The 13,535-nt window shown below is 33.7% G+C and overlaps 1 protein-coding gene across 19 annotated transcripts in view, besides 1 other annotated feature; it reads right to left on the reverse strand.

The window, feature by feature from the left end:
• The window catches only part of PCDH15 (protocadherin related 15), a 1,825,172-nt gene that overhangs the window by 47,986 nt on the left and 1,763,651 nt on the right, over window positions 1-13,535 (reverse strand). For all 19 annotated transcript variants that reach the window (XM_047425663.1, NM_001354420.2, NM_001354429.2 and 16 more), the window contains one exon: window positions 6,419-6,507. In XM_047425663.1, coding sequence (XP_047281619.1) covers window positions 6,419-6,507 — 89 coding nt within the window. The remainder of the gene's footprint in view (window positions 1-6,418; window positions 6,508-13,535) is intronic.
• Window positions 9,750-9,964: a silencer, noted in NCBI's record as "fragment chr10:55620266-55620480 (GRCh37/hg19 assembly coordinates)". NCBI's record gives its function as "represses an EF-1alpha promoter that drives an FKBP-Casp9 reporter gene in an ReSE screen in HepG2 liver carcinoma cells {active_cell/tissue: HepG2}" and the evidence as "EXISTENCE:reporter gene assay evidence [ECO:0000049][PMID:32094911]".

Below are 13,535 nucleotides of genomic sequence, written 5' to 3' on the forward strand. Positions count from 1 at the left end.
ATCATTCATGGCAATTCTCTGTTGATAATATCTTCAACTCCAACTATATCTTTATGCTAAGTATGCTGAGAGAAAATTGGCATGTAATAGACAATACAGCAATTTAATTGTAGAATATGGCAGCTAGGGAGAAGACTACATAACAAAAGAAACTCTTAAGGTATCTAGTGGCTACCATATTGAACAGATGGGTCTAACTAAGGACTTTCCATCTCACACAGAATAAAACTTGAAATCGTCCAAGTGATCTATCAGGTCCTAGAACTGATTTTCTACCATGATATCTATATTTTAATAAGCCAAGCATGGCTCTTTCTCTGGGTTTTCATAACTGCAGTTCTCTATCAGGAATTGTGCCTCTTCCTCTCTCATAGTCAAACGACTTTTTCCATCACTTAATATAGATGTCTTCTCAGATTTCAACTTATCAGAAAGGCTTTCTTTAACCATCCTATTTAAAACAGCACCTCTCTTCCAAAATTTTCTACTTGATACTTGTATTTATCTGTCTTTATTACAGTTATCACTACATAACTTAATATTACATATTTATTAATATTGTTATTTTATATGCCATTTTTATGCAATCGAATAGAAGCTCCATGGCAGCAGGGACTTCACACTGTTCACTGATAATCTCCAGTGCTTACAATCTGTAACTATTTATTTTTTAACTAATAAATCCCCAGCTCTAAGATACAAATGCAAAAACTCAAAGAGTTTGATAGACTGGCCCAAGACTTCCTAGCTAGTCTTTGGTGGTCTGGGAAATGAGCCTAGGTTCTCTGAAACAAAAAGGAGCTCAAACTTTCCCCTTAAAACCAAGTTTTTATTACATTGATTTAAGAAAATGTGCTAGCAGTTAGCGTTTCATAGGTATGCTTCCCGAGAGACCTTCTAATTATCCTCCTAGAAATATATATATATATATATATATATATATATATATATATATATATATATATATTTACACACACACATATATACATATATACTATACAAATAAATAAATTCTATATACGTAATATATATCCTGGCTACATTTCTAATGTAGGTTTTGTAACCTTAATTCTAGGAACTATAGATTGATTACACAGCACATTTCAGGTGCTACATAAATATTTCATAAAGTTGAGGCTCTTCCTCATCAAGTCAGTAACTACTTCAGTAAAGCTCTACTATAATTGAATTTTCATATTTTATTCAGAAGGTAAGAGATGGGTTTGAGCAACTCTGAGAAATAAGTTGTCAGTTCCGATTCATACAAAAATACTCTAACTCAGTGTTTCTAAACTCGAGTTTATAATTTTCAAAATATCTCTTTTATAGATGCTTAAGGATTTAAATTTTAGAACCACAGATTCCTCTTATTTGAGTTTCATGGTGAACTGGGAGTAGAAAGAAGTTATAAAATGCAAACATTTCATAGTTTCTTCTTTAGACAATTATTTGCCAATTATTTGTCCATTGTAGTTACGTGTCCCTACTGTTATTCTCACAGCTGTTTCTCCTATACCTTAATTTAAAAAAAAGTAATTTAAAAAACCACAAGCCTTACAAAGAGGTGAATTCTAAGATCAACTTAAAATACGTCAGAGCACAGATATTCAAGGGTATCTGTAGTGGATGCAGATCCTCACTGGAATTTGTTGAATATATTAATCTAATTAAAAAGGTATATGTTTCCTTACTTAGGGGAATTGGTCAATTTTATAAGCTTAAAATCTAAAAAGTAGTAAAAAATTTTCAGTATAGTCATTTCAGCTGATTCAGTGAGGTGAGGAGTAATCATTACAGCAGCTAAGATTTATTACAAGCATTCCATTTTCCAGGTACTGCGGTCTTAGCTATCAAAGTGTACTGATCTTTGTAAAATCTGCTCCATTGTAAAATGGATATGTCAGGTCATTATTTTTCCTTTCATCAAGTGTCCTCATTTGTACTGATTACATACTTACCAAGGAAACTTTATATTTTTGCCTAAAATATTGGTCTACCAAAAAAAAAAATGATCACATGACATTCCAGTTTTCCACTTCATCGGATAGGGATGTCTCAAGGGAAATATAGAAATGGCTTTGATGATAACTAACTTGTCACCTAAGAATGTCACAGGGAATTAATGTGTTTACTGGTCTCGTCACTAGAACAATAAATTCTTCTATTTAATTAACTATTTGGCACCCCGATGGCTACCTGAGTTATGTGTGTATTTTCATCACTCATCCCAGACATGGATAGGGGGAGCACTGGGGCTTCACAGTGCTGACTCAGGTCTTACAGTTCTTATCACTACCACTTCCATCTACTAATGTAGGTTTCAAAAAGAGATCAGAAATATTTCTGCTTAAGAAAACTCTAAATTTACATAGGTTTTAAAAAAAATCTACAAAATGAAATCAGACATGGAAGGGACAATTTCTTAAACAACTAGTATTGAAAAAATGGAATATCCATATGTAAAAAAAAAAAGGCTGGACCCTTATCTTACACCATATACAAAAATTAACTCAAAATGGATTAAAGATCTAAATATAAGACCTCCAAACCATAAAATGCCTAGAATAAAACGTATGAGAGGTGTTTTGTAACACTGGATTTGACAACGATTTATTGAATATGACACCAATAGCACAGGAAACAAAAGCAAAAATAGACAGATGGACTACCTCTGACTTTAAAACTTTTTGCCCAATTAGTGACACAATCATCAGGGTGAAAAGGCAACCTATGGAATAGGAGAAAATATTTGCAAATCTTACATCTGATAAGGGATTAGTATCTAATATCTAAACAACTCCTACAACTAAACAACTAAAATAAATCAAGTAACCCAATTAAAAATGTGCAAAGGACTTGAATAGACATGTTTTAAAAGATGATATACAATGGCCAATAGCACCTGAAAAGATGCTCATCATCAATAACCATCAGAGAAATCAAATCAAATGACAATGATATATCATCTCACACATTAGTATGGCTACTACGTATAAAAAAGGAAAAAGAACCAGAAAATAAAAAGTGTTGATAGGAGGTTGAGAAGTTGGAAAGCTTATGCACTGGTGGTGAAATTGTAAAATGGTGCAACTGCTATAGAAAACAATTTTCTTTAAATTAGAACTACCATATGATTTAGCAATCCCACTTCTGAGAATGCACTCAAAAGAATGAAAGCAGGATATAAAAGATATATTTTAATATTTATGTTCATAGCAGTATTATTCACAATATCCAAGAGGGGGAAACAACCCAAATGTCTATTGAGAGGTGAACAGATGAACAGAATGTGGTATGTATTGAGAACTATTCAGCTCTATAAAGGAATGAAATTCTATCACATGCTAAGCTGTAACATGGATGAATCATGGGAATATCATGCTAAGTGAAATAATCCAATCACAAAATGAGAAATACTGCAAATTTCCACTTTTATGATGTATTTAAAGTAGTAAAATTTATACATGTAGGAAGACAAAAGGTTGTTACCCAGAGTCTAGGGGTAAGGCTGGAATGGAAACTTGTTTAATGGGTACCAAATTTCAGTTGTGCAAAATGAAGAAGTTCTGAAAATCTATTTTGAAACAATGTCAATATACTTAAAACTACCAAACTGTACACTTAAAAATGTTTAAGATGGTAATGTTTATACTATGTTTTTTAATCACAACAAAAGGAATGGGGCATGTATGTGCTGCTTAATAAACTCGCAGATTTATATTTAATTCTTTTAAAATCAACATGAGATAGAGGTCTTTATTCCAATTTTCATGAAGAATAAAAGTGGCTCTAGGTGCTAAGTAGCTTGTCCAGAGGTTACAGAGCTGTAATAGGATCTAAATCTCTGTGTCTGAAACCATAATCTGCATTCCATTACCAAATGCTTAATAAATAAAATGTACAAAACTCCTAGCCACTCTCCACCTAAGTCTACTGACTTTGAGCTGCTAGCTCCATTTATATGGAATATTTACCATTCACCGAATAGTCATACTTTCTATTGTCCTAGATACATTATATAATTCAGTTTTCAAAATAATTCTATATGTTTTATTAGCTCTTAACAGTGAAACTGAGGTTGAAAAGATTAAATTATTTGCCCAATTTCATGTTTTAAATCCAAAGTTTTATGAAGTCAGAGCTTCCTTCACAATGATACGATTCTCTCAAGACCTGAAAGTTACCTGATTTTTCCTATTTATATCATCCTATCTACTTAAGAAGCATTAAAATCTTATAAATTCCTGCAAAACTATACTTTTGCTATTTTCTTTTTCAGTTTGATAAATTTTGTCTCAAAATAAAGAAAATGGCATCATGATTTGCTTGTAAAACATCCTTTCAATAAAATGTATCAAGTGTCTACTATATAACTGGAGTTATAGAAATAAAACACAAGTCTCATACATTCGTAGAGATAATATTCTAGTGGAAATTGACTATAATAATAACATTAGATAATGCTTTGTAGAAAAATAAACTAGAATAAAGGGTTAAAATTTGAAGCTGGGTATCATTTCTTACATAATAGACAACGGAATCAGAGAAAGCCTGTCTCAATAGGCTTTTATTAAAGCAGCTAAAAGTTAGGCACAATTCTAATTATTTTTAAAGTATAATCAGCTATTATTTTGAAAAGGCTCAGTGTATATAAACTACTTCTGCAGAAATAAACAAGACACTGTACAATTGATATTCCATGCATAAATGTTGATAACCATCACCCTCATAAAACAATTTACATGACACCAAAAGGTTAAATTTGTGAACTATCCTGAAATAATTGTTATGAATCATATATGCTTTTCTTATGGGAAAATCACATATGCTTTAATCCGTGCCTACTGTATTTTATTTGGCATATAATTACTAAAAGTTTAGTTATCTGACTCTTTAAAGCTTCTTCTGGCAAGCTGAAGTGATGATATTTTGCTAAAGAGGCAAATTGACAGTGACGATAATTGACCTCTGTCAAACTGAAATCAACAGAAGACACAGAAGAACAACCTAATGCAGGCAGAGCTTAAAACCTAGACAACGGGTTGATAGGTGCAGCAAACCACCATGGCACATGTATACCTATGTAACAAGCATGCATGTTCTGCACATGTATCCCGGAACTTAAAAGTTAAAAAAAAAGGTGATATGTATATATATATATATATGTATGTGTGTGTGTGTAATGAAATAGTATTCAGCCATAAAAAGGAACAAAATAATGGCATTTGCCATTATTGGAGACCATTACTCTAAGTGAAGTAACTCAGGAATGAAAAAACAAACATCATATGTTTTCACTCATAAGTGGAAACTAAGCTATGAGGACTCAAATGCATAAAGATGATACAATGGAGTTTGGGGACTCAGGGGAAAGGGTGGGATGGAGGTGAGGGATAAAGACTGTACGTTGGGTACAGTGTACACTGCTTGTGTGCACCAAAATCTCAGAATTCACCATTAAAGAATTATTCATGTAACCAAAAAAAGAAAAAAAAATTTAAAATAATGGCAGCTAAATTAGGGTAATTAAGGGTAAAATAGTAAAGATATTTTAAACATCTTTTACAGTATCAAAATATAAGAACTGCAGTTTAATAAATAATCACAACTAGATTGGAGTTAACTATAACATACTCAGCCATGGTGAGTCTACACTGTTAAGGAGGCAGAGGGACATGCCACATATTTTACAATAATTTAAAACATATATATTGCTTAATATTAGTCAACTTGGTTTTAAAAGACTAAGCTCTAGGCATTTAGACACATTGCTTTGAGAAATGACATATTTCCTGGACTGGCCAGACTGCTTTTTGAGTAAATTGGAGCCACAAAATCAAGGTATATATTCAATCCATGAATGTTATGATTTCTCATATGCAGCATTTTGAGGTTCTGATACATCAAAGCATTCTGAATAATAAAATCTCACATCTAATTTTTATCCTTATTTGAAGACACTCTCAAAATCTTCACATATTTCCAATTAGACTTTGAGAAAACAGTAAGCTAAATTATTATTAAAACACTCTTAAACTATATGTTTAATCTGAACATTGTAATGATTAAAATGACCCACTCAGATTAAAATTGTGGTTGTTCAAATACTGCATGTTATTATTTATAAATGAGAGTCAACAATGGGTACATGCAGACATAAAGAAAGAAAATAATAGACACTGAGGGCTCCAAAAGGAGGGAGGATGGGAGGGGCATGAGGGCTGACAAATTAGCTATTGGCTACAGTGCTCACTATTTGGGTGGTTGGCACACTCGAAGCCTAAACCTCACCAATATGCAATATATCCATGTAACACACCTGCACATGTATCCCCTGAATCTAAAATAAAATTTAAAAAATACAGTTAAAAATCATGGTCATATAAAAATAAATATATAAGGAGACAAAATCAATTACTCTGTAAGATCTTCTATCTTTTTTTCCACTAGAGTAGGAGGCACATTGGAAACAATGACTTGCATATCCAGCTGATTGACCACGGAGACCTGAAAGAAGAAAAAACAGAATTCATTTAATTTTTACTCACTGAAATTTCCATAATCAGAAAACCCCCACATTACCTCTTCCCTACTATGCATAGACACAGTGGTTTCTGATTTTCAAATTCAGGAACAAATATATATACATTTTTAATTATATGATCTACACAAGGGGTTGGAGACTAACTGGGGCAGACTGAGCATGAGAAACTATTTGTTGTTTACCTAGAAATTAAGAATCCTGAGTGATTTCAATTGTTTTTGGTTATGTGTTTGTTTTATTGGTTATTTACTGAGACATGAAGGGTGGCATTTTTTTTTAATTTGATTGTTAAGGAACACCCAAGATAATGAAAAATACGTTTTATATTTTACAAGTCTTGAGAAATCATTTATTCATTATAACTAAGAATCTGAGATATGACTGGTTAGAATAATTCATTCTATGAGGTCATCACATATAGTTTTCTTGTCTATTTAACCAACTTTAAATTTGTGTAGGTAGAGGTATATATTTAGAACTTTACATATGGGTTAAATGAGCTAATTTAATGGCTGTTGATAACTATGTATCATTCATTTAAAATCTACTGAATTTCTTCTATGTTCTTATATTTGAAAAATAGAAGAAAAATAAAAATATTTATTCTGTGCTTACAACATGGCATTTCATCTTTTCCTCAATATTCTACAGGTTTAACTCATTGAAATCTATCAACAGAATCAGGTTGTTATTAATATCATTTCGATTTTAAAACAAAAAAAATAAATTGAGGATATATTTAATAACTTAATCCTAATTAAATGCAGTCTGCCTTACACCAGAGCTTGTGCTCTTTACTATTATCCAATACTGATATAAAAATTCTAAAAAGCCATATATTATCATGCACATACATTTATACACTATTAAAATATAAATGCATTTGTACCAGAATCATAAATTGAACACTCTGAGTTAGGCATATTTAGCACCGTATCTCAATACAATCTACAGTAGGGAGTAATTTCACATTGCCACACATGTTTTTATAGGCTCCAGATTCTTTACATATAGAGACCCCATTAGGGGTCACAAACTCAAATGCCTTCAGGAACCAGGCAGGTAACTTAAATGAGAAAAGTAGCCAAAAGTATGAAATGATAGAAAGAAGTGTAAGTAACAAATCCAAGAGCACATAACTCTGCTGAAGAGGTCAGCTACTACTCACCTCTAAGGAATATTGCAGTGTGGGAAACAAAATCCAGATTTCCTAGATATTTCAGTTTTTCAGGAAAAAAAGAAATCCAAAATATTTTGTAAAATGTTTGCAACTAGTTAGAAATCTATCAAACCATTGTGTGAGCATGATCAATCATGTCTGAAGACTGTATTAAGACAGGAGTAGGTCTGATTATTACTTCTGAGCAAGCAGTTTATGCTGGCAGTTCTAACCTTGTACCCCTAACCCGTCATAGGTGTCTGGGACCAAATGACTAAATTTCCCTTCAACATGTAAATGAGTCTTGATTATCTTTTTACAAAACACTAGCTACTTCACTAGCGAACTAGCGAAAGGGATCATTACAGTTTTTGTATCACTTTGTCTTTTCTTATTGGTCTTGAGTTAAAGAGGATATAGAAGTTGAATAGAAATATTTTTTGTTTTATTGTTTTTGAGTTTTTAGCAGTAAAATTACATGATAAAAATTTCTAGAAGTATGTATATGAAACTTGCATAACTGTTCCCTCCCTCCCTCCCCTCCTTCCTTCCTTCTTTCTTCCTTCCCTCTCCTCCTTTTTTTCTTTCTTTTAACATTGGGCCAGAAACGGTTAAAAAAAAGTTTTGATAAAAATCAAACCACCCGGAACAAGTAGTAACTATAGGGTGTTATCCCAACGAGAAGTATAATCACTAGGCCTCATTCTCTGTTCCCTGAAGCTCCCATCATCTCCTCTAACTGCTGGACTCAGAAGTACTGGAGTCCTGGCCTCAGGACAGAGGAGCTTTTGCAGTGGGACTAGTGCTGAAGCACTTCCTAATTCCACCATCTGTTGGGAGAAAGCTCCTGGACCATGATGTGGGTTATGGATAGGGTGAGTAGTAGGGAACATTAGCAGGATACTGGAAAAGAGAAGAAAATGAGTAGGAGAAATAACTCTTTATTACTGGTTCTTTCAGTGGAGAATTGTTAGGACTGTCTGCCCTGTCAAACTGTCCTCTTCTCACATGTCTGTCTCCTGGTCTGGTAAGCATGTGCTTCAACCCACCTTTTCTGGCTGACAGACTGTTACAGATCCGTACTATTAGTATCCCTTGAATTTTCCACTGTCTCTTATTTCCCTACATTCATCCTGCCCAGGCCTTCAAAAATAGACCCTTCATTAAACTGTCTTCAAATTATCTGACTCTTGCAGCGGAGACTTAAAATTAAAAAAAAAAATGTTTCACATGTGCATGAATTTTCTGCCAGGTCCTTACTGATATAGATCCGAAAAACCATACAATCAGGTGTCAGGCTGTATATACCAGAAATCGGTCACACTTTACAAATATGATATATGATGTGAACAAAAACAAAAGTGGGAAAGGAACTAAGTAGTAACTAGTGGAGGATAGATTCAGCAGCCTCAGAGGAAGACCAAACATAAGCCTTCCTATCTTAGGGTAGAAACAGGATTTAATCAAGGAAATCTCCTGCTCCCGGGATGGGGATCTACATTATATATACCCAACAGGATTTCAGAATTGGCCTGGACAATTCCATATGTCTACCATTACTGTCCTCTTCAAATAGGAATTTCTAGTGGATATTCTGTATTTTTCCATCATCTATACTGGGTGAATGTGTTTGCTGGATCACTAAAACATCAGAAGTTCCCTCTAGACCTGATAAAAAGAACAGCATGACATCTGAGATCCAGGTGTTAACTTTGATAAGACTTTGTTCTATTTGTGTGGAAAATAATGAAATAAATATTTGGTAATCAGAAGTATAGACTGGTTAGCTGTTCATCCAGCTCTTTCTGTCTTCCCACTGGGAACACACAGTCGATTTCTCAGCCTTCTTTGTAGTTTAGTGGAGCCATATGATGGAGTTCTGACCAACGTAAACTTAGTGGAAGGGAAGGAATGAATGTTCTTAAATTTGAAGGATAGTCACTGCTTTCTCTTCATCAGAAAGATAGGTTACTTATTCAAAATACTTTAAGCCAGGCGTAGTGCCTCACACCTGTAATCACAGCATTTTGGGAGACTGAGGCAGGCTGATCAATTGAGGCCAAGAGTTTGAGAGCAGCCTGGCCAACATGGTGAAACCCTGTCTCTACTAAAAATACAAAAAATAGCCAGGCATGGTGGTGCATGCCTGTAATTCCAGCTACTCTGGAGGTTGAGGCACGAGAATTGCTTGAACCTGGGAGGCAGAGGTTGCAGAGAGTCAATATCACGCCACTGCACTCCAGTCTGGGCGAGAGACTCTGTCTCAAAAAAAAAAAAAAAAAAAAAAGTGAGATTTTGTGCAAAATTCTGACTGAAATAGTAGGAGCTAACATTTAAGGTATCTAGAATATATCCATTTTAAGGTTACATTTTATTAACAAGATTTTATGATGTTAATACATTTTGAAAATATACTTTTATATTTTATTTTAAGGATATAAAAATAAAAAACATTTAATTCTGATAAATTAACAGAAGTCGCACTACCGGGAGTAGTTGTCCCACACTTACCTCTAAATCATTACTTTAAAATTTTTAAATCTCCTGAATGTGCTAATGTCTGGTTTATGTAGAACACACACATTTTGACTATGCAAATGAAGAAATAAGATATTACAGTTTACATTTGGTCTTTGACAGAAATTCTACATCCTAACTCTGGTTTGTTTTATCATCTATAACAAGGATATTTAGCTGTTTAAGATTAGTAGATTTTATTTATGCTACTTTTCCAGTATAGCTTCTGCAAATATGCAAATATTTCCAGAAATTTGCATGTCAGTTTATTACACCAAATATTTAATAATTCTCTGTGAAATTATTTAATTCTGTAGCTTAATAACTAATGAAAGCTTTATAAATATGTTTCCATCATCATTGAGATTGATATTTGTAATGGATTCAAATTACTAGGTATTGTTAAAAAGAAGAGAAATAACATTTGTGAAGCACAAAATTAAAAAAGCAATGGTTGGAAATTTACATGTTACTATTTCTATGTCCTTTCCATTTATTCTCATAAGTTTCTTTTCTTTCTTCCTCTATACTCTCATAAATTTTAAATAGTGCTGTCCAATAGAAATACAATGTGAGCCACGAATACAAATCACATATGTAATTTTAAATTTTCTGGCACCCACATTAGAAAGATAAAAATAATAAGATTAATTCAATAACACATTTAACCCAATATGTTTAATATATGTTTAGTAAAATATCATTTTAACATGTAAAGAACATTTTACATATTTTTATCAAAGTCTTTGAAATCTGGTGTGTATTTTATACTTATAGTACATCTCCGTGTGACCTAGCCATGTTGCAAATATTCAATAGCTACATTTGGCTGATAGCTAGCATATTGGACAACCCAACTTTAGAGATATTCATCATCTCCTGCTTGAACTGTCTTTCCTAACTAACTAACTGGTCTCTGCTGCAAACTCACATTTTATTAAATAAAAGAGGTGTTTTAATAGTCCATTTAGATAATTATGTATTTTCTTTTTTAAATACTATACCAAAATTTAGTTTCCACATGAAATCTGAAACCATGTTCAGTTATACTACAATCTATTTGTCTGTCTTGTACTTTTTTTTTCTTTTTTGCGATGGAGTTTTGCTCTTGTTGCCCAGGCTAGAATGCAAATGGCGTGATCTCAGCTCACAGAAACCTCTGCCTCCTGGGTTCAAGCAATTCTCCTGCCTCATTCTCCCGAGTATCTGGGATTACAGGTGCCCATCACCACACCTGGCTAATTTTGAATTTTTAATAGAGACGAGGTTTCACCATGTTGGCCAGGCTGGTCTTGAACTGGTGACTTCAGGTGATTTGCCTGCCTGAGCCTCCCAAAGTGCTGGGATTACAGGCTGAGCCAACACACCCGGCCATTGTACTTTGAATTGATTTTTTACACGTGCATAATTTTTTAACATCCTGCATTGGCCACTTGGAAAATACAAGTTTACTGAACACTGCAGATATTGTAAATATCAACACACTTCATTACACAATATCAATAAATAAATCACATTATTTAATACAACCACTGACTCATCAAGAAAGTCTAAATATTCGGAAGCTAGTCAAGTTTACAGTGACAGGTACATTTTTTTAATATTCTAATTTGTGCTTCAAAGCTTCAGTATTATCATTAGTTGGTTGTTTTCAATGAAATGACAGGCTCCCTTCATCCATTTTGTGTAAATGCCTACCAAATATTTAAGTTTGAATAACCATATTTTGTCTCTAAGTTGCTCTTTCATATAAAAATGTTAGTCCATAAAAAAAGCAGCTTGTTCAGCTTGCATAGTGCTTTTCCTTGAGGCAACCATCTTCCACATACAGCAGATGTACTCTATGCATACTTCTCATTTCATCAACAAAATAATGAAAAGGTGTTTAGGACACTTTCGTTGATAGGTTAGCTAGCTGCCTAGATAGATATACAGTATTTACTAAGGGAATGAATGTGAGGTTTAGGAGAGAAAGGAGTCAAGAAATTTTTTGCCTAAGGAACTCAAAGTGATTTGGTCATCAAATAAAATGAGGAAGACTACAGGTGGAAGAAATGTGATGAAGAAGAGAAATCCATTAGGAAACACTAAATAAACACCTTTTAAAAATATTCGGGTGGAATTGCTACATGTACAGATAAATATGCAAATCTGGTGTTCAGGAATGATCTTTAGTGTAAAGATGTAAGTATGAGCGCTTTTACTATGTAGATGATATTTTAAAGTTATGGGACTAAGTGAGCTTAACAAGTCAGTGAGTGCAGATAGAAAAGAGATTTAATGTCTGAGCCCTGAGAAACCTCAATACTACAAGGTCAGGAGAAGAAAATGAACCAGTGAAGGAGACTGAGAAGGAGTAAACAGTGAGATAGTAGGACAAGGGAGTATGGTGGGTGGTCTGAAAGCATAGTGAGGGTAATAGTCAAGCATTGCTGATGGTTCAAGTAAGATAAGGACTGGCATCATCAGTACATTTCCTAACATGGAAGTCATTGGTAGCATCGACAAGAATAGTTTGGAAGAGTGTTTGGAGAGAAAACACTCTTATGATTAGAGGGTTTAAGAGAGGGTTTAAGAGAGGGTTCAATAGTGAGAAATAAGTCAAATCTAACATAGAATTTTGCTAAAAAGAAGAATAGAAAAATGGATGGCAGCTAGAAGGTGATATAGATCAAGGGATGTTTTATAATTTTTGGAAGATAGAAAAAAAGCATTGTTGTGAGAATAATCTGATATAAGGAGGAAATTTATATTAATAATGTAGAAAAGAAATGGGAGAGCTGCTGAGGCAATCTCCTAGAGCTGGCGAGTGGGAATTGAATCTACTGCATAAGTAGAGGTACAGGCTTTAGATAAAAACAGAATTCATCTAAAGGAGCCAGAAAGAAGGCAAAGAATGTTGGTCTAGATCCTGGAGGGTAGGTAAATTTAGTGGCAGGAGTCATAGAAGTGTCCTTCTAAATGCTTTAGTATTATTTTTCTGTGAAATAGCATGCCAGTTAATCAGGCCATAGTGAGAATGAGGACAAGGTATTGGAGATTCAGGAGCAGAGAAGATTTTCTAGGACATCGAGGCAAAATAGAGTGATTACTGACCAAAGCAAAAGCTCATTTGGAGGGTTTGTTTTAGTCATTAATTTAAATTGATACTGATGCAGGAGAACAGGGTCTGGAGGCAGGGAACCTAAGGCCAATTTGTGCTGACTTCCTAAAGCTAAATCAAAGGGAAAACACCAAGGTCTGGGGTCAGGGAATCTAAGGCCAATTCATGATAGTTTTCTAATGGTGGATTAAACAGGAAACTCCTGGGTCTGG

This window comes from Homo sapiens, chromosome 10 (assembly GCF_000001405.40).
Source record: "Homo sapiens chromosome 10, GRCh38.p14 Primary Assembly".
NCBI classification, from domain to species: domain Eukaryota; kingdom Metazoa; phylum Chordata; class Mammalia; order Primates; family Hominidae; genus Homo; species Homo sapiens.